General features: G+C 34.1%; 1 protein-coding gene across 11 annotated transcripts in view; it reads left to right on the top strand.

The window, feature by feature from the left end:
- The window catches only part of ERBB4 (erb-b2 receptor tyrosine kinase 4), a 1163086-nt gene that overhangs the window by 851634 nt on the left and 288972 nt on the right, over positions 1 to 22480 (top strand). For all 11 annotated transcript variants that reach the window (NM_001042599.2, NM_005235.3, NM_001439006.1 and 8 more), the window contains 3 exons: positions 7985 to 8117; positions 13912 to 14005; positions 21692 to 21846. In NM_001042599.2, the coding sequence (NP_001036064.1) occupies positions 7985 to 8117; positions 13912 to 14005; positions 21692 to 21846 (382 nt within the window). The remainder of the gene's footprint in view (positions 1 to 7984; positions 8118 to 13911; positions 14006 to 21691; positions 21847 to 22480) is intronic.

Genomic DNA, 22480 nt, shown 5'->3' with positions numbered 1-22480 from the left:
CACGCCTGGCTAACTTTTTGTACTTTTTTTTTTTTAAGTAGAGATGGGGTTTCACCATGTTAGCCCAGGATGGTCTCGATCTCCTGACCTCGTGATCCACCCACCTTGGCCTCCCAAAGTGCTGGGATTACAGGCATGAGCCACCACGCCCAGCCCAGTATTGGGTTTTAACCCAACTCTTGTGGTCTTGGGCAGCTTACACTCTCTGTGACTCTGCCCACCTATAAAATCCATGATCATTCCTGTTTTTCATGATGGCTTTGAATATTAGTATTCATAAATGAAGAAAGAATACCCCCTCCAAAAAGAAATAAAACTAAAGGCCAATGTATCTCTAAAGAATCTAGAGGCTTTGGGAGGCCGAGGCGGGTGGATCATGAGGTCAGGAGATCGAGACCATCCTGGCTAACAAGGTGAAACCCCGTCTCTACTAAAAATACAAAAAAAATTAGCCGGGCGCGGTGGCGGGCGCCTGTAGTCCCAGCTACTCGGGAGGCTGAGGCAGGAGAATGGCGTGAACCCGGGAAGCGGAGCTTGCAGTGAGCCGAGATTGCGCCACTGCAGTCCGCAGTCCGACCTGGGCGACAGAGCGAGACTCCATCTCAAAAAAAAAAAAAAAAAAAAAAAAAAAAAAAAGAATCTAGAGGCAAAACTCCTTAGCAAAGTAGTAGCAAATAGCAGTCAGCAATATATACAAAGAATTATACAACATAACCAAATGAGTTTATTCCAGGGATATACGATTGGCACAATATTTGATAATCAAAAATGTAATATATTAACAGCCCAAGGAAGAAAAAATTCATTATCATGTCAATTGATACAGAAAAAGCATTTGAAAATTTTAACACTTGTTTCTGTTTAAAAATCTCAGAAAAAAATAGAAATTCAGAGTAAGTTTCTCCCCTTCATGAAGACCATCTACAAAAATCCTACAGCTAACATTATGCTTAATGGTGAAAAGCTGAAGGCTTTTGCACTAGATTGGGAACAAGAAAAGAAAGACCTCTCTTATCACTCATTTAACATAGTATTGAAAGTTCTACCTAGCAAATAAGGCAAGAAATGAAAAAGCATATAGATTGAAAAGGAAAAAAAATCTCTCTATTCACAGATGGCATGATTATGTACATAAAAAATTTCAAAAAATCTACAAAAACCTCCTAAAATAAATAAGCAAATTCAGCATGATTATAGGATAGAAGATAAAACTTACAAAGTTTAATTGTATCTGAATACATGTAATTAACATGGGGACATAGAAATTAAAACTATAATACTATTTATAATTACTTAAAAGATGAAATACTTTGGTGTAAATTTAACAAAACATATACAGGACTTGTATGCTGAAAACTACAAAATACTGATGAAAGAAATCAAAGCAGGTGTAAATAAATGCAAAAGCCTACTGTGTTCCTGTATTGAATAGCTCAAAATCATAAAGATGTCAATTCTCCCTAAACTGATATACAGCTTTAGTACAATTCTTATCAAAATATCAAAAAGGTTTGTTGAGATAGAGACAAGATTATTATACAATTTGTATGGAAAGGCAAACAAGTTAGTCCAACTAAAACAATTTTGGAAAAGAAACAAATGAAATGGGAATATTCAGTCCACATATTTTCAAGAATTATTACATAGCTGCCATAATTAAGGCTGTGTGTTATTGGTAGAGGATAATACACAGATCAATAAAACAAACTCAGAAATAACTGACACAAATATACCCAATATATTTTTTACAAAGGTGCAAAAGCAATTAATTAGAGGAAGGGTAGCCTTTAAAGCAAATAGTGCCAGAGCAAATGAACATCTATAGAGCAAATAAACGAACCCTAAGCTACATCTCACATCTTATAAAAACATTAACTTTCAAAACAGGTCATGAGATTAAATGTAAAATATAAAGCTATAAAATTTTGAGGTAAAAAATGGAGAAATCATTAGGGATTTAGAGTTAGGTGAAAAGAATTTAGAGTTTGCATGCAAAGAACAATCCATAAAAAACAAAATGATAAATTCAACTTCATCAAAATTAAAAACATTTGCTCTGTAAAATATCCTAAGATAAGAATGAAAGTATAAGCTACAGATTAGGAGAGGAGATATTCAAATCAGATAGTTGTTACAGAACCGATATCTTCTTATGCCTGCTGTACAGTAATATACAAATATTCTGAGACAGCAGGGTTTGCAGCAGAGAAACAGTTTAATGATTGCAGGGCAACCTAGTGAGGAGATGGGAGGAAACCCTCAAATTTGTCTCCCTGAGAATTCTGGGCTGGGGTTTTTAAGAGCAAGGGGCTGGAAAACTATGACCACTGGTTGGTCAGAGTAAGAAGGATGAAGTCATCAGGATGTGGAAACTCCATTCTTTGGTGAGTCATCTCCTCATAGGGTCCTTCAGACCAGTTGGCATCAGTGGGGTCCTTCAGACCAGCTGGCATCAGTGATTTCTCTGGCATGCAGGACATGAAAGAACATCTTAAGGCAAAACCTAATGTTTCATAATGTTCAAATAGTTAGCTATAGAGCAGTTAAGGAGAACTATAATCTTGTAACAGGGTCTGCATGACTCTGAGACAAAAGCAAACAACTATGAGGAAGCAGGTCCAATAGAAAGCTACATTAATTACTAATGATGTGTGTCCTGCAAGCTTGGTTTCTTTTCTTTTCTTCTTTTCTTTTCTTTTCTTTTTTTATTTTATTTTGAGATTGAGTTTCACTCTTGTTGCCCAGGCTGGAGTGCAATGGTGCAATCTTGGCTCACTGAAACCTCCACCTCCCGGTTTCAAGCGATTCTCCCTCTTCAGCCTTCTGAGTAACTGGGATTAGAGGCATGCAACACCATGCCCAGCTAATTTTGTATTTTTAGTAGAGATCGGGTTTCATCATGTTGGCCATGCTGGTCTCAAACTCCTGACTTCAGATGATCCACCAGCTTTGGCCTCTCAAAATGCTGGGATTATAGGCATGAGCCACCGTGTCCGGCCACTTGGTTTATTTTCATTTCTCCCCCTCCCATCTTCCCTTATTAGTATTATAAAGTTTATAGGAATGGTTTCATAGATAGATGGAATATATAAAGAACAAAAAGTAGCACTAAATAGCAAATAAATAAATAAACGAAATCTAATTACAGTGGTCAAAAATACGAAGAAACATTTCTCTGGAGAGTATATAAATGAAAAATAAGCATATTAAAAATGTTTGACATTATTAGCCATTTTATGGAAATCTAAATTTAAAACACAATGAGATATTACTACACCTATCAGAATGGCTAAAATAAAAAGAGTAATGAAATCAAATGTGGGAGAAGATGCAGAGAAATGTAATAATGAATACATGGTTGGTGAGAGTGTAAAATGGTACAATCACTCTAGAAAATAGTTTGCTACTTTCTTAAAAAAAAAAAAACCCTGACTAAAGTGTTACTACCATATAACCCAGCAATTAACTCCCGAGAATTTATTACAGAAAAATGAAAATTATATTTATGCAAAATCATATACACAAATGTTTATAGTAGCCCTAATTGTAGTAGCTCCAAACTGGAAACAACCCAAATATCCTTTCATGGGTAAATAGATAAACAAATTGTAGTAACCCATACTATGAAATACTATGGTCAATAAAAAGAAACAAACAATAAACACAACAACCTGGATGAATCTCTGCATATGTATTCTAATTGACAAAAATGCCAATTATGAAAAATTACATACTGTACAATTCCATTTATATAAATTTTAAAATTACCAAATTATAGTAATGGAGAAGAGATTAGAGGTTGCAGCAATGGAGCTCTAATGGGTAAGTTTAAAGGGAAGGTGGGAGACAAGTCAGTGTGAAGATACAAGTACAAAATTAAGGATTCTTGCTATGAGGAAATCTGTATTTTGCCTATATCAATGCCAATGTCCGGTTGTGTTACTGTACTATAAACTTTTTAAGATCTTATGAGATAAAACTGGGTATCTATAACACGGTATCTCTCTGTATCATTACTTACAACTACACATTAATATACAATTATTTCAGAATAAAATATTAAATTTAAAATATTTATATTATAAACCCAAAAGATAAAATAGTGAATCAAAAGTTGTAGAGCTCATAAGCCACATATGCAGAAAAACATAAATAGAAATAAAATAAAATCATTTTAATAATCAATTTATCCAAAACATAAGAGAAAAGAAGAAAAGGAGGAAGAGAACAGAATGGACCAACAGGAAAAAAAAAACTAAGATAAATTATTTCAACTTAATTATTTCAATTATTACATTAAATGTAAATGGTTTAAACACCCTAATTAAAGGGCAGAGATTATCAGATTGGAATAAAGAAAAACAAGCCTCAATGATTGCTGCTTACAAGACATGGACTTCAAATATAAAAGCACAAGTACATTAAAAGTAAAATTATGGAAAAATACTATGAGAGAGAAATAGATGGAAGAGAGTAGAGAACCAGAAATGTATGAACAACTTATTTCTTATAAATATGCAAATTTCATACAGAAAGGATATCTTTTCAACAAATGATACTGGAAATATTGAATATCCATATACAAAAACTGAATAGATCCTTACATAGTACCTGTGATTGTTCATTTTATATATCAACCTAACTGGGGAGTGGGTTGACCAGATATTTTTTTAAATATCATTTCTGGACATGTCTGTGAGGATGTTTCTAAATGAGGTTAGCATTTGAATTGGTATACTAAGTGAAACAGATTGCCCTCACCAGTGTGGGTGGGCATCATCTGGTACACTGAGGGTCCAAATAAAATAAAAAGTTGAAAGAAGGGAGAATTCACTCTCTCTGCTTGGCTACTTGAGCTAGAACATTGATCTTTCTCCTACTCTTGGAATGGAACTTACATCATTGATGCTTCTGGTTCTTAGGCCTTTGGACTTGGACCAGAATTTTTATCATCAGTCCTCTCAGATCTCAGGCCTTTAGACTCAGATGGGGACTGCACCACTGGCTTCCATAGGTCTCCAGCTTTCAGGTGGAAGATGGTGAAACTTCTCAGTTTTCCTGCTTGTGTGAGCCAATTGTGTGTGTGTGTGTGTGTGTGTGTGTGTGTGTGTGTGTGTGATGTGTATAAAATGTCTTAATGGTTCTGGTTTTCTGGAGAACCATGACTAATACAGTACCATATGTGCAAATTAACTCTAAATGAATCATATGGATAATTGTGAAACCTATAAAACTTAGAAAATACCAGAGGAAACCTTTGTGAACCTGGGTTGGACACACCAAAAACTTTTTAGATATGATGTCAAAAGTATGATTCAAAAAAAAGGTTGATAAGTTATCAAAATGAAAAACTTCTACTTTCAAAAGACAGTATTAAAAGAATGGAAAGACATGGCTAAAATTGGGAGAAAATAGTTGCAGAATATATAAAAGACTCTCAATACTCATTAATAAGAAACAATCAATACAATTTAAAATGGGCAAAAGATTTGGTGGCACTTGACCAAACGAGATATGTAAAAATAAACACATTAAAAGATATTCAACATTTTTAATCATTAGGAAAATGTGAATCAAAACCACAATCAGGAACTACTACATTCAAATTAGATAGTTTGAAATTGAACAAACTGACCACATCAGTGTTGGTGAAGATGTAGGGAAACTAAATTTTGAGTTGTGTTCATTGATGGTAGGAATGTAAAATGGTACAACTACTTTGAAAAACAATTTGACAGTTTCTTAAAAAGTTAATCATATACCTACCATATTGTCCAGCCACTCCTCTCCTGGGTATTTATCTAAAGGACAAGAAAGTGTATGCCCATACAAAGACTTTTACACATATATTCATAGTAATCTACTACTACTATTTTTAACATCCAAAATGGAACAGTCTAAATGTCTGTCAATAGGTGAATGGATTATAAATTTCATATATCCATACAATAGAATATACTCAGTAATAAAAGTGAATAAACTATTGATACATGCAGTAACATAGATGAAACTCAACATAATTATATAAATGAAAGAAACTATATAAAAACAGAAAATATACTGTATAATTTCATTTATTAAAAATTATAGAAAATGCAAACTAATGTACAGTGAGTAACAGAAAGCAGACCAATAATTGTCTAAGGAGGATGGTGCAGGAGGCAAGGATTACATAAGGTCATGAGGAATCATTTGGAGATAATGAATACATTAATTATCTTGATTGTAGATGTGGTTCATGATGTCAGCACTTATCAAATGGTATACTTTATGTATGAGCAGTATATTGTATGCTATGTATACTTCAATAAAACTGCTGCACACAGACACAGATACACACACATTTCTCTCTTAAACTATGCTGAAAGAGATTATTCAAGAAGTAGCAAGATTTGTTGATAGATCTAAGTCTGCTTTAAAAAATTTTTACACAGTTTACCATAGGGGCCTTTTTAATAACCCCAGGATATAGAACAAAGAAAATATGAATTGGAATATTTGTTTCGCTGTTTCAGAACTAGTCAGGATCACAGGTGTGGGCGATTTGCTCTGTCAAGCATATGTTAGAGAAGTTAACTTTCACAGATTTCACAGATAGACTTCCCTGCTTATATTACACTACCATATTCAGTGCCATCCCAACCCACCTCGCAAATGTTCTTGCCATAAAATTTTACATCTCATAATAAGTAAAGTTGGTAACTAATGGAAAGATAAAGTTGATTTTGATGTTTTAATCTTCTTTAGAATTATTATTTCATGAAAACCACATGAAGTTGTGTTTCAAATACCTCAAATCACTTTCAGACACTCAGGATAACATTTGAAGTATTTATGGCTCTTCTTATCAATATCAAATCTCCCGTCACTAAAATAATGTCATGCAGTATAAATAATAATATCCTGAATAAAAGATATTCAGTATAAAGGGAAACAAAGATGGTTAGCCTTAAGTGGAAATTTAAAAATTATTTGGCCCTTCTGCCATCAACAACAACAAAAAATAGAGATAACATAGAGATAACACTAAAGACTATTGTTACTGCTTTAATCTCTACACTTCTGCATAAATAATCACTGTAATTTGCTGAATATTCTTTCAAAACTTCTTCCTTACATGTGATGACTTGACTAATAGCAAGGTAGACCTAGCCAGAATACAGCAGGGTCCTGTAGAAAACTTATATTTTGGTTGGCGCAGTGCCTCACGACTGTAATCCCAGCACTTTGGGAGGCTGAGGTGAGTGGATCACTTGAGGTCAGGAGTTTAAGACCAGCCTGGCCAACATGGTGAAACCCTGTTTCTACTAAAAATACAAAAATTATCTGGGCGTGGTAGTGTGAGCCTGTAATCCCAGCTACTCAGGAGGCTGAGGCAGGAGAATTGCTTAAACCCGGGAGGTGGAGGTTGCAGTGAGCCAAGATCATGCCACTGCACTTGGATCTGGGTGACAAAGCAAGACTGTCTCAAAAAAACAAACGAGAAAACTTGTGTTTTATTTCTATTCCTTTCTCCCCTTCTTACCCTCTATAAATTATTCTTTTTCTTTCTCTTCCTCTTTTAATACTTTTTTTGTTTCAGGACAATATTGTTTTCTATTTCTTCATGAAGCTCTCAAACTGAGAAGCCAAAATATTTTATTTATTAGTGGAGCAAAGCATTGGCTTGAGAGAAGTGTGGTTTATTCTTTAGCTTGGACAGATAATTTATATCACCTGTCCTCCCAATAGTTTTTATATAGGCAATTCACTTTTGTTTAACCTTATGAAAAATGCAAGATTGCTGTACAAACACAGCTACTAGGACTCTGCAATATAGAAGAAGTTGTGGGTAGGATGGGACATGACGATGGGATAGGCCACCAAAGTCATTTGCCATATATCTCTTTTAAGTGAACTCCTTTAGAAATAGCATTACCTAGGAAGATTTTAAGTTTTGACACAATCCTCTGTTTTATTTCCCCTTGATTTTGGTGTTTCACAGCTGCTGAAGGAATGGTGTGCAACCATCTGTGTTCCAGTGATGGCTGTTGGGGACCTGGGCCAGACCAATGTCTGTCGTGTCGCCGCTTCAGTAGAGGAAGGATCTGCATAGAGTCTTGTAACCTCTATGATGGGTAAGGCTTCTTCTAGGGTTGCCTTCACCTCATGAGCTTTGAAGGACTGATTAGTTCTGATTTTTTTTTTTTTTTTTTTTTTTTTGAGACGGAGTCTCGCTCTGTCGCCCTGGCTGGAGTGCAGCGGCACGATCTCGGCTCACTGCAAGCTCCGCCTCCTGGGTTCACGCCATTCTCCTGCCTTGGCCTCCCAAGTAGCTGGGATTACAGGCGCCCGCCACCATGCCCGGCTAATTTTTTGTATTTTTTAGTAGAGACGGGGTTTCACCGTGTTAGCCAGGATGGTCTCGAACTCCTAACCTAGTGATCCGCCTGCCTTGGCCTCCCAAAGTGCTGGGATTACAGGCGTGAGCCACTGCACCTGGCCTAGCTCTGATTTTTAAAATTATAAGAAAATGGTAAAATGCAGGCCAGGATTTTTAAGGAGAGCTCTTGTTGCATAAAGGAGACAACACATAGACGAATTCTTTTAAGGAAAAATAATTTTATTTGAAATTATGAGTTCAAATACATAGTTTACTATTGTATGCATTTTTAAAAACATACTCAGACAATTCTTATTATAGCAATTTACAGTTAAGCAAAATTGAGAAATATATTCCAGTTTTCTTTATGAAGGGGATTGTTATAAGTAATCTTCCTCTCCATGTATCCCAATAATATTTTTTATTTTCCTCTCATACTTCTCTATAAATTTCATCTGGAGTGCAAGTTTTCTTGTTTTTTTTTTTTTGTTTGTTTGTTTTTTTTTGTTTGTTTGTTTTTTCTACTCACTTTTATGTCTATTTGTATATAGGAATGGCTTGTTTCTGTCTTTGACAAGTGCTTAGCCCAATAGAAAAACTACCACTGTAGTTTCTATTTGAAGTGGTTTTGAAAGTGTTCTGCCAGGTTTTAGATAATCTAAGCAGTATTTTAAATTAAGTATTTTTAATTTTATCTGGTATTTCAATAATAACATTACCAGTAGTAGAAGCTAGTAAGTACCTGGTTGCATAATATTTCATATATTCATAAAATCACTTTATCATAACATACTATTTGATGCATCATTCTTGTCCTTCATCAATGTTATAATGTATTTTTAGTACTGCTCCTAAGTCAAATTTTCTTATGTTGCTCACTGAAAGTATTTTCTTTCTTTATTTTTATTTTTATTTTTACTTTTATTTTTATTTTGAAACGGAGTCTGGCTCTGTTGCCTGGCTAGAGCGCAGTGGTGCGATCTCGACTCACTGCAAGCTCCACCACCCAGGTTCATGCCATTCTCCTGCCTCAGCCTCCCGAGTAGCTGGGACTACAGGCGCCCGCCACCACGCCCGGCTAATTTTTTGTATTTTTGGTAGAGACGGGGTTTCACTGTGTTAGCCAGGATGGTCTCGATCTCCTGACCTCGTGATCCACCTGCCTCAGCCTCCCAAAGTGCTGGGATTACAGGCGTAAGCCACTGCGCCTGGCCTCTTTTTTTTTTTTTAATTTATTTTTTTTGAGTCTAAGTTTTGCTCCTGTTGCCCAGGCTGGAGTGCAATGGCCTGATCTCAGCTCACCACAACCTCCACCTCCCAGGTTCAAGCAATTCTCGTGCCTCAGCCTCCAAGTAGCTGGGATTACAGGTGCCCGCCACCATGCCGGGCTAATTTTGTATTTTTAGTAGAGACAGGGTTTCTCCATGTTGGTCAGGCTAGTCTCGAACTCCTGACCTCAGGTGATCTGCCTGCCTCGGCCTCCCAAAGTGCTGGGATTACAGGTATGAGCCACTGCACCCGGCCTGAAAGTATTTTCAATAGTTTTGGAAAGTATAGTTTTGAAGTTCTTTCATTTCCTCATGTGCCTCATGAATTATCCCACTGGATCCAATAAATAACATTGGAATTTTGCATTTTACACGAGAAAAATAAAAATATATAGATCATAATGATATTGACATGTCTCTTCTTTGCAAGATGTCCAAAACCAATTCCATCCATAAAATATAAGGGAAAATATTAATATTAGAAGCATAAGTATAAAAAATTTTAAATAAGAATTTAATCATTTTTCAGGAAAATTTTAGCATTTAATTTTGTGAGGTAACTTTGGCTTGTAATTTGGAAATGAATTGGAAATTATTTGCTGCTTGTCTCATTGAATCATATTTATGCTTGTTCCCAATATTATGAACATAAAATACCTCAGATCAAAATATGCTTGCTTTTGCATTCAGCAATTGATAAATGAAACAAAACACAATAGACTAATAAATTAAAATGAAACACAATAGACTAATTTCATTAAGTGAATATTACATTAAAAGTTTATTGAATATATATGTGCAATACTAAAGAGGAAATTATAGAAATCATTTTGTGTAATAGCAGCATCTTATAAATATAGGGAACTGGTTTAATTAAGTATGGGCTGAACTCGCAACACTATATAGGACTCAAGCCAATGCTAGAACGTAAGGTATCTGATTTTTCATCTTGATTTTTTGTTTGTTTGTTTTTTTCCCAGAACACCATTGTTTTTATTTAATATTACAGTTTTTAGCTTTTCAGAAATATGAAATTTATAAACATGTGTATGTATACACCAGTTTCTATCTCATTTCTACAAAAACAATGAAAGCTAACCAAAAGAAAAATACAGGTTTCCTGAGGAAACACTGATTACCACACTGTTTTTTATATTTAGCATATTTCATATTTACATTATAAAATCAAATCTGTTAAATTAACTTAGTTTTTAATGTATTTTGCAGTAATTATGGCACCCCAGGAAACCATAAGCATGGGGCTAGTTTGAAAGATGATCAACTTACGTATCTTGTAAAAGACTGGTGCAATTCTTGCCTGCCCAGTGATGGATTGCCCACCTTCCATCTTGTGGTATGGGCTAGTTTCTTTCAACATTGGCTGATGGTTATGATAGCCTTTGAGGAAGAACCAGTTTATATCCCAACTTCATTGCTTCCTAGTTGAAACATCCAAACTTGGGCAAACGATCTCATCATTCTAAATTGGTTTTCTTATGTGAAAATTGGGAATAATAGTGGTGTTAACTTTATAGGACAGTTGTGATTATCAAATGAGAAAATGCGTAAGATCTTGTTGGAGTTTCTACCATAAATGTTATCATTATTTTCTTTTTCGTCTATTTATCTGAGTTGATTAAATGGTTAAATAGAATGGCCATTTTTGAAACTACTGAAAGTAATCAAATATAAATATGACATTTACCAAAATCCAGGGAGCCTATTTGTTATATATATATATATATAATATTATATTTTATATATATATTATATTAAATATATATATGTTAAAAAATGTGGCTCCAGAAGAGAAGAAATCCTAAAAAGAGGACTTTTTGAAGGGAAAAATGAAAATCAGTCAATTACTGGCTGATTAGCATTCAAATCCATGTCATATAAATCACTGTATTTCAACAACTCTTAACTACAATGCTCAAGCAATAAAAATGAAAAAGATAGGTAACTGCAATGGAACTTTAGAACTTCCCATATCTGTCAACATGCTTAAACTCTTGTGAAAGTTTAAGAACAACACAGAAACATCAAAGAGGGAACCAGACTAAGCTCCTTCTAAGTCTTTTTACATTTTATAATTGCAGCTTCTCAATGAAATCTTATTTTTTCCTTTTACAGAGGATATTTTAAAAAATGAGGCTTAAGGAAGTTGAAGTATTTAAGGCCTAGAAATAGTAGTGTCAGTCCTGGGGTTTAGATTTGGAAAAACTAGATCCCAGAGTATTCACTCTTGATCACAGGACTTGCTAAGTTAACACATACAACAAAACTGTGAGAAATGTTTCATAGCAAAACCAAGGGAACAAAGCTCCCTATCCAAAGCTCATACTTAATAGACTATAAATTGTTAAATCTGATTCAAGTGAAAGGGTGACTCTGGCAAAGTCACAATAGAATCACTAGAGGACAGGAAAGAAAAAGAGAAATTATGGAGAAAGTCACAATAAAGGGCAGAAGAAGTAATAGAGATTGCCAGGAGGATCTTTTCTGAGAGCAGGAAAAATCAGAAGCCTGTCAAATGGAAATCTATGGAAGAAAAGGGCAATAGGCCATCTCCATGATTGTTTTATGACATACATTTTATTCCTCAACTCTGCGTGTGGGGAAGTGGGTTTTGGAGAAGAAGAATAAGAAAAACGTGACCTTTGTTCTAGTAATATGAAAACTACAACCCTCATTTAGTACCATAAACTTTTAATCACCCAAGAAACTATTATCCAAAACCAGTGGATAATCTCAAGTGTGCTATAATTGTCATAATTTTGTTATGCAAACAATGCTTTTGATTATTTTTATAATTTTACTACCCTCCCATACCAATTCATTTGGACTTTTATATTCTGAAGGTTTCCTTTGTTGAGTACTTTGTATGCTTTATGTCAGTGAAGCATGCAAAAGATCACCTGTCTTTATGTAATTGTGATTTTAAAATTAAGAAAATTTATAAAAGGTTTGATCCATAACAAACTGCTATCTCACTTTATAAAATGCATAATCCATGTAACTCAATATATGTGCATTTCATACATAATTAAGCCATCTATTTATGCTATTCATTTGGAAAACCAAACTTAATTATTTTGCCTTGGAATAGATGTAGTCTTAAACTAACCGGCAGAAAAGATAGCTCATCATTGTACTTCTTTCATTTATTAAGGCTTTACAGTATTCAAATGAGAAAAAAGTGAATGCTTCACTTTAGGTAAAAATATATTTTAATGTATCACTTAATGAATCAAAAATTGCCATCTCTGTAATGCTATTGGTGTGGAGTAGTAACACAGGACACAAAAGCACAAAATAATAAAATAGCTAAACATCGTCAAATTTTATTAATGATTTGTAAATGGCATTTTAAATTGTCTGTACTCAGTACTTTATCCTCCTGTATTTTAGTGGGATGGGGTGGTTTAACATATTATAGATGACTGATATCTAATTATTGATATAATAATTTTGCCATAGACATTGATTGTAAAATTCATAAGTTGATAACATGTAATATACAAATAGCCACAAAAATGTAAGGATATAGGAAGGGATGACCACCATCCCAGGAGATTTCAATTAGAAAGTTTTAGGATGTTACCATTAAACTGTGTCTTTTATTGTATACCTATAGAATTACTTCAAAAAGAATTTAGACTACAAAAAGATGTTGTGATATTAGATCAATAATATAAGAAAATGAAATCTACCATAAAAAGATGTTTTCTCTAATTCTCCAAGGCAGATATTTTAAAAGGAGAAGAGGAATCAAAGTAGTTTTTGAAATTTCACCAAAAATAAATTGAAGAGTCTTGGGATTTGAAGGACAAGGATTGGGAACATTCATGTAACTTAGCAACAAGAAAAATACAATAGTTCTTTCAGAGTTTAGAAATAAAAGCTTCTCCAAGAGTAAAATTGTATATAAAGACAAAACAGGCACAGCCCTATTTAAAAAGGTAAAAATGGTTTTACTGTGTCATCAGAAGAGTTATACTTTGTAGCTTTTTTTTTTTTTGAGATTGCTGGAATATGTCTTGCAGGAGAGAGGTTTCCAGAATGAGTCTAACATTGAACTCAATGGAGGACAGGGAGAGCCATCTGGCTGCAGTTTATCTTTTCTCCTAATGGAAAACTTAATGTTTCTGATGCTCCTGGCACATAGAGAAACAAACTTTAGAATTTACTCTGCCAATAGGACTTTTAGCAGATGTTACTTCATTTGTTAAGTTGACGCTTGTTTGCTTACACCTCCTCATGTGGCTGATGTTTTCACAGTGAATTTCGGGAGTTTGAGAATGGCTCCATCTGTGTGGAGTGTGACCCCCAGTGTGAGAAGATGGAAGATGGCCTCCTCACATGCCATGGACCGGTAAGCCTGAAGACATCTGTGGTGTGTTGGCTTATTTAGTATCATGTATGAATGTTTGTTATTATTTTATCATTTATTCATCCATTCAATAGCTACTTACAGGATGCCATGGGGAAACATGTTTATCTGCCTACAAGAGGCTTAAAGTTTAGTAGTAGAGATAAAATAGTTAAAAAGTCGATGTCATACATATTTATTCTCCAGATAAAATATAAAATAGTTAAATGGAATTATAAGATATAGAGTAGTCCTGGACTATTGCACAGTATAGAAAAGAATAATTAGATTGAAGCATAATCACTAACATAATAAAAATATTTATAAATTGTTATAGAAACACAAATGAAGGAAAAACTAATTCTGTCTTTGGGATGGAAATTGAGACATCAAGATAGGCTATAGAGAAGTGATGCTGGAGCTATGCTTTGAAGAATAATCTGGAAAGAAGAAACATATAAACATATGCAAATGTAAAAGTTCATGTTGTATTTGAGGAAAGCTATCACACATTTTTATATGCATTTAATCCTTTAACTGTTGTGGCACTGTGAAAGACAGTGGAAAGAAGGAGACAAGTACTCATAAACTAAAATCTAAAGCAGTGCAATAAATACTATGGCAGAGGGAAGAATTGAGCTATGAGAATCCAAGGAGGGGTTATAGGATTAGGAAAGTTCTCATGGATGAGGTCTCATTTACATAGTTTGAAGTTAGCCTCAGAGAGAAAATTATAATTATTTTTTAGACCTCTCTTTGGTTTCCATCATTTGAGTTTTTCTTAATAATGAGATCAGTATAAATTTTTCATTCCTAAGTATCATTTTCATCCTTCTTTAGACAAATTTCCAGTTTATCTGTGTTATTGAATCCTCTCTCAATGGATAATTTGAGACCAACATTTGAATGTAGACAAGAGCTTCACATTGCTCTGTACAATTTCATTGAAAATTTAAATAGTATTAATTTTTATACCAGAATGCTTATTCAGCACTTAATTAGCTTAGAAAAAATATATATATCATTGAGCCCTCCAGACTTCCATTAGGCCCCAGTGAGCTGCTCTGGAACTTTATCTAAAGAAAGATGTGGAAAAATTGGCCAGTTCAGAGGACGACCACAAGGATGATTAGCTTGGAAAATTAGACCTCTGAGAAAAAGAAGTGGTGTTGCTTGGTGTGAAGAACCAAAGTGTAAAAGGCAATTTAATATGTAATGATCTCCAAGTAACTATGCAAAGGGCATTTGCAGCTATTTTCTTTCTCCATTATGGACAGTCATGAAAAATACAATTAACTAACAGTGTGAGAAATATGAATTCTGTAAAGAATGTCATGAAACACAGGGAAGTGCATTTCTGTAATGGCTTGTTAAGGCAGGTTGGGATATCTGTATGAGTCTTTAAAAAAGAACATATTTAGGTAACTTCTTGACTATTAATCATGGAATGAAAAAATCTCTTTCTGAGAGACTGAAACTTTTCAAAATGTATAATTAAAATAATCAAGGATTTGGCCCTCTCATCTGAATAGGCTGGGAATCATCATAGGCCCTCTAGATCCAATCATAATATATATTAGACATAGATTTACAGAAACACTTTTCAAAAAATTATGAGCAACTGCCAAAACTTGCCTAATGTTTCATTTGTGAATCACTACAGGTGCCACTGCACTGATATTTCCTATAAATATCTTATTACAATTTTCTAGATTAGTTTTTTTTCTTCACACATGTAATTTCCTATTTCTTTCTCTTAACCTTTTTAGTTTGAGCAAGGCTTTAAGAAACATCTTATTCATTTATTCAGCAAATATTATTTAGTACCTAGTTTGTGCCAGGCTTCATGAGTATACATATTGTTAGGTTTTTAAATATTAGAAAATTCAAACATTAATATTCAAAATTATTTCTCAAAAATTAAGAAGTTGCATTATTTGCATATTTTAATTTTTTCACATTATCTTTTCTTCATCTATTGTATACTGTATAATGAAAATACATTCAAGTAATAATATTTTGGCCTTTCTTGCAATTGTGACTTTTCAGAAAAATCAAATATATTTATGAACTAATACTTTTAGTTCACCTAATCCTATAGACAAAAAACTAATCTGCTTAAATGTTGCATAGTAAGACACCATATTTTTTTCTAATTTCATAAAAAAAATCCCATGTCTGAAAACTTGATGTTCGCTTACCATCTGTAGCAAAGTCTAACCTTCACTAAGGAGAGACTTCAACAACTGTCCCTTCAGTATGCCTTTATTAGTTTTCAGGTGAGAAAAAAGTTCAGTGACCACTTTACCTATGAATCAAGTCAGAATTAATCTGATTATCTTGGATCATATTTATATTAATGATTTAACATACATTACTGAGGGCCTTTTGTGAGCTAGTTCTGTGCTAGGTATTTGCACCTACATTTTATTTTATTGTCTTGTAGGTATTACTCCCATTTTTCCAATGAGGAAATAATCTCAGAGATGTTAAATGAATTGCTCAATGTACTTAAATGAATTGTTCTGTAGTATTGAGACCTTTGGAATCACAATTTTACCATCCAGTCTCAATGTGCTTATCAGTTCCATGCTTTTTCTCTTCTTCATGATGCCTCCTGTTGCATAAAATTGTGCTAGTGAATAACTCATTCATTAATTTCTCCTAATTTGTGGGTTTTTGCAGTTTGTTTACTCATTGTTCCTCAAAAAACTTGAGATGGTTATAAAAATATACATTTTTAGAACTCCAAAAGTTGATTTTTAAAATTATTTATAGTTAAAGAATCAGTAATCTTTGAATGCTAAGCAGGTAAGAACACGACATCTTTCAGTAACGGTGCCTGAAAAACTGGCATGGCTGAGCTCAACCAGTGGCCCAAACATTGCTCCCACTATGGTTTGGTTTCTTTCAACCCTTAATGATTCATATTAGGTTTTTGCCTGTTTCTGGGCCCACATGTTAATGACCACAACTAGAGTCAGAGATGGTTTTGTGTGCCAGATAACAGTCATCTATCATTTAAGATATCCAAGAGGTTCTGGAAGCTTCTCCATTAGACTGGCGTTTTGATGAAATTGAGGAAGAAGTCATCAAAGCCATTTGGAAATCCCATTCCTGATCTTATGATATATTCTGTTGAAATCACATTTTTTGATCTATGAATATTTCCCCAATGACAAAAACTGATATATACTTATGTTTACCAAACACTGTTACATCTGAAGCATGCTATCACTTTCTCCCTTTAAAATATAAAGAAAGTTAACCAATAATGATTAGAAAGTTACTCCAAAAGTCAGCACGTCAGTAGGATATGAAACTGTGACTCAACTATAGAAGTTCTGACTGTAAATTTCTCGTACATCTCAGTTTTTTGTCCCCCAGGAAACAATGTCTTCAGTGCAATAGGGATAAAATGCTTTCAGGGACTATGATAGCTATAAGTAAAATGAGATAATATAATCCTACTTAAAAATGACAGAAATTTACGGTAATCTTGCAAGGGATAGATTGGAAATAAAAGAAGGCCTTTGCGCTTATGTCCTTGTCTGTCCACACTTGGTCTTCTATATTTTATTTAATTTTTTATAATTTTATTCACTCTGCTTTACTTTCATTACTTTTAGGCAGTCCTATCCAGAAAGGTATAGGAGGAAATATGAGAAGAAAGACAAGCCTGGGAAATCAGACAGTTTCAGGAGACCAAAACTTAGGCTAGAGAGGCAGCAAAAGAAGAGAAAAAATAGTAAGGGAACTGATTTTGAAATACATTCCTATAAAAGTGAAAACACTGTTAAATTTAGGTTAATAAAGGTTGTGCTGCTGTAACAAATAACCTCCATATTGCAGTAGCTTACATAAATAAGTTTAAGTTCTTTTTTTTTCATGTAAAGTACATAGTTGTTTTTTGCTTTTTTCTTTTTTCTTTTTTTTTTTTTTTTTTTTTTGAGACTCACTCTGTCGCCCAGACTGTAGTGCAGTGGCGTGATCTCAGCTCACGGCAACCTCTGCTTCCTGGGCACAAACGAGTCTCATGCCTCAGCCTCCTGAGTAGCTGGGTTTACAGACATGTGTCACCATGCCTGGCTAATTTTTATATTTTTTGTAGAGATGGGGTTTCACCATGTTGCCCAGGTTGGTCTTGAACTGCTGGCCTCAAGTGATCTGCCCACCTAGGCCTCCCAAAGTGCTGGGATTAAAGATGTGAGCCACCACACCCATCCATCTTGTAAAGTACACTGGAAATCTGGGAAATGTTCTAAGGCAGCGAGCCTCCCTGTTATGGTCTACCATTCAGGGATGCTTTTAATTTATGGCACTTCCACTTCTACATGGGGTCTGTGAGTCATGGCACCAGAGAGAGAAGGCTGGAGACTTAAGCACTAGTTATCTCATAGTCACCTCTAGTTATATTCCATTGTGCAAATTAAGCCATATCTTATCTCTGGTGGGAGGAGAATTATAATGTTCTCATGTGACTGGAATAGAAGATAATTGGTCACTGGTGAATAATAAATATGTCTTTTACAGTAGCTACCAGAGAAAAACATCAATGACGACTCAAAAAAAAAAGTCATGCTTCTATAAGGATTCAGCCTATCCTTTAGTTGTCTGTCTAGATTATTGACTCCAGAGGTAGTTTAGAAATAGGGATAAGGAAGAATATTGCCTTGACCTTCATTTTCTATTATTGCACTGATCAATTCATTTATTGTGCCTCGGTTCTTAAAGCCTTTGGGAATATAATGAAAGAAGAGTAAACATTAGACACAGGTATATTTCTTTAAGTCTCTTTATTATGGAAATGAGATGGGGAATCAGTATGTTTCTTTTTCTGAGATTTGCCAGGACATTTTTAGTTATGTCAGCCTGGGACATTAGGTTTTCTATCATGATAATACAATCAAATACAGTCATGCACTTCATAACAACATTTCAGTTAGTGATGGACATATGCAATGGTGTTACCATAAAATTATAATATCTGCCTTTACTGTACCCTTTCTACATTTAGATATGTTTAGATACACACATGCTTATTATTGTATTACTACTGCCTAAAATATTCAGTACAGTAATATGCTGTGCAGTTTGTAGTCCAGGAGCAAAAGGCTATACCATATGGCCTAGGTATAAAGTAGGCTACACCATACAGGTTTGTGTAGGTACACTATGTGATATCTGCGCAATGATGAAATCACCTAATGATGCATTGCTCAGAATATATCCCGGTCATTAAGTGTCACATGACTATAGTTAAGAGATGCTTAAAAAACAAAGAACAAAAAGTTATTTATCTTATTACAGTATACTTAAATATTAAATATGAACTTGATTTTACTTTTACAACTTTATATCTTTTGACTTCACCCAGACATGATTTTACATTATAAGAAAAATACATTTACATTACTTAGAAGAATAATTCCTAATTCTTAATTCAGACTCTGCCTAATTTACTCATTGTAGGTTTTATTCTGTGTGCTGCAAGAAGACATCAGCATGTCTCTTGTCTTGTACAATAAGTCATGGTACTGAGCATACTTGCACAGTAAATGATTCTGTGTAATAGACAATATTACGTGCCTAAGTACCCATAAGCAGGTGTTAAAATTGGAAGGATGTGAAGTATTCTTTTTTGGGAAGAAATAAGAAGTTACCATTAGCAAACTCCTCAGGTAGAATCAGGATTAGGTTTTATAGGCTTTTTTTTTTTTTTTCGAGCTCTGAGCCTCACAGCAAAATAGTGAAATAGACAAGGGCTTGATTGAGCCCCACCAGTCTCAGGATTTCCTGAAAGCTCTTCCTGATTACTTTTTCTTCTTTATACTTCTATTCACACGCCTCCATTTTTAAATTTTAAAATATTGTATTTCTCGATTTTCTGATGCCTTAAGTAACCAATTTGTAATATCTAGCTGCTCTTGGATTAACATTTGTGTAGGACAAGCTTTCCCAACCTGCAGCCCATTGGCCACATGCACCCAGGACAGCTTTGAGTGTGGCCCACCACAAATTCGTAAACTTTCTTAAAACACTATGAGTTTTTTTGCAATTTTTTTTTTTTTGGCTCATCAGGTGTCATTAGTGTTAGTGTATTTTATGTGTGGCCCAAGACAATTCTTCTTCCAATGTGACCCAGGGAAGCCAAAACACTGGACACTCCTGGTTTAGGATATAAGGTACTCCCATTATCTTTACAATCCCTACCTAATATCTAGTTCTTTATAACTTAGTGTTAACTCCTGACTGCCAAATTCTCATTGTTTATAACTACAAATGTGATAGAATTGTCTCTCTGTATGCTTACTATATCTTATTTATTTAAGTTGTTTTCCATGTGAACTATAATGATTGTTGAACCCTATGGACATAGCCAGATTTTAGGGAGAAATGGGTCAGGGGAAGAAGTTCCAAAGGGGAGTGGTCAAAGAGGAGAGGAATTTTAAGACAATATGGTGTCCAAAAAGGAGATGTAAAAGTACATTTCAGGTAGCTGTTGTCCAGAACAGCTGAATGTATGAAAGCATCGGGGAAGTCTTTTAAGAAAGATAGCATTTACCAAAGTGTTCTAAATTTTCTTTGCTCTGACGATATACCCATTTCTAGTATGCTTTCCATCCATTATACCAGATCCAAATCAGTTTGTATTCTGTAAAATTCATATATGTTTTAGTTTGAACATCTTAATATTGTCATGACTTTTAGATATATTTTCATATCATTATCACTTATTAACATTCCACATATTAGAAAGTTAATGTGTATTATAAACATAAATATATAGAATGAGTTTGTTCTATTTGCATTTATTATACTCATATTTATATTATCTTCATCCTTGGATAAGTTTCTTCATGAAGCCTTTGTTTGTATGTATTTGCTTTATTATTATGGACTATTTTGCTCATCAAAATGTGCATTTATATGGCTTTCAGTATTGTTCTGTGATTTACTAAAATCCCTATAAATAGACATAATATGACTTTTAGTGTTTTCACAGTGGATATGAAATAAAGAAAAATCTAGGAATTATTTTTATTCACCTAAACGGCCTAATTCCTGATAATGTTATCATAACAAATTTTAAAATTCATTTTATAAATAAAGTCATTGTACAACCAAAGGAAAGTTTACATCCTACTCTTATATGAAATTCAGTTTTAGTTAATTTCTATTATATCCCTTTTCTCATTAACTATTTAGTAAAAGTATTCACATATTCCCAGTGGTGGTGATGAAATACCTCTAGGGAAAATGTGTTTTACTAAAAATTGCTGCACTATAATATTGCCAGAAATAAATCACAAGAAGAAAATACTGACATCCTTTTGAGAAAGTCATTGGACAGTTTTGCTGATCAAATTAAGTCACATTAGAGTCATGACATGGAAATCAGTTGGCCCAGGAACTGCTTATGTCGAAAAGGAAAATATTTCAAGCACAAATACATTATTATAGTGTTTTCACACATACAGGATATCAAAACTGAACTTGATGGATCTTCTTTGCACTGTTTGTACTACAAAAATTACATCCACATTTGCACTGCTGAAAATGTTCTCCAATTCTCTTAGAGGAAGATTTGCCACCTACTGAAGTCTCAGTAACTAAACCACATGAATACATTCCAGAGGAAATGACACCACTTTTCTTTTTTCTTTTTTTTTCGTTTTCACATTTCAGGGTCCTGACAACTGTACAAAGTGCTCTCATTTTAAAGATGGCCCAAACTGTGTGGAAAAATGTCCAGATGGCTTACAGGGGGCAAACAGTTTCATTTTCAAGTATGCTGATCCAGATCGGGAGTGCCACCCATGCCATCCAAACTGCACCCAAGGGTAAGCATTCTTGCTGGCCAAGGGCTCACCTGGTATGTGTTATCCACATGTATCTTTATCCCTGGTACCATCTCTGAAATGTATACCATTCTCATAGAACTCTACTAATCCTTATATTTAAAATGCTGATTTTAAGAGAAATACTGAGAGAATGATTTATGGAATCAACTTTGTACACCCTTAAATATTTCTGCTTAGATTTTACCTATAACCATTCTATTAACACCTTCATGAAGCTAGCTAGTGTCAGGTATACTTTGGATGCAGTTTAGAAATTCTTCGAAATTATATTGGAGATTCAAGATCTCAGAAAAGATAGGACAGTAATCATGCTTTTGAGGTTTGTGTTTATCAAATCTTTAAAGGAAGTTTTCTATTTCTGTTTCTTTGTTGTCACAATAAGCTTAAGGTGAGGATATTTCTCTTTGATAAATACTACCTTAAATTACTCCTTCAAAAAATATGAACAAAGGTAACAATGGCAGGGAAAAAGGGAACCTAGTGATATGTATATTTAAAAAATGAGTACATTTTGTGAAAGTAACCTTGTTACAGGTAATCCTTTAGCCTTGAATTTCTTTGACTGATATAGGGCAATCTGAAGCTTGGTAAATTTTTTTTCTCTTTTTCAAAA

This window comes from Homo sapiens, chromosome 2 (assembly GCF_000001405.40).
Source record: "Homo sapiens chromosome 2, GRCh38.p14 Primary Assembly".
Taxonomy (NCBI): Eukaryota; Metazoa; Chordata; class Mammalia; order Primates; family Hominidae; genus Homo; species Homo sapiens.
The sequence above is the reverse complement of the archived record's forward strand: the minus strand, read 5'-3'. Positions and strand labels throughout refer to the sequence as shown.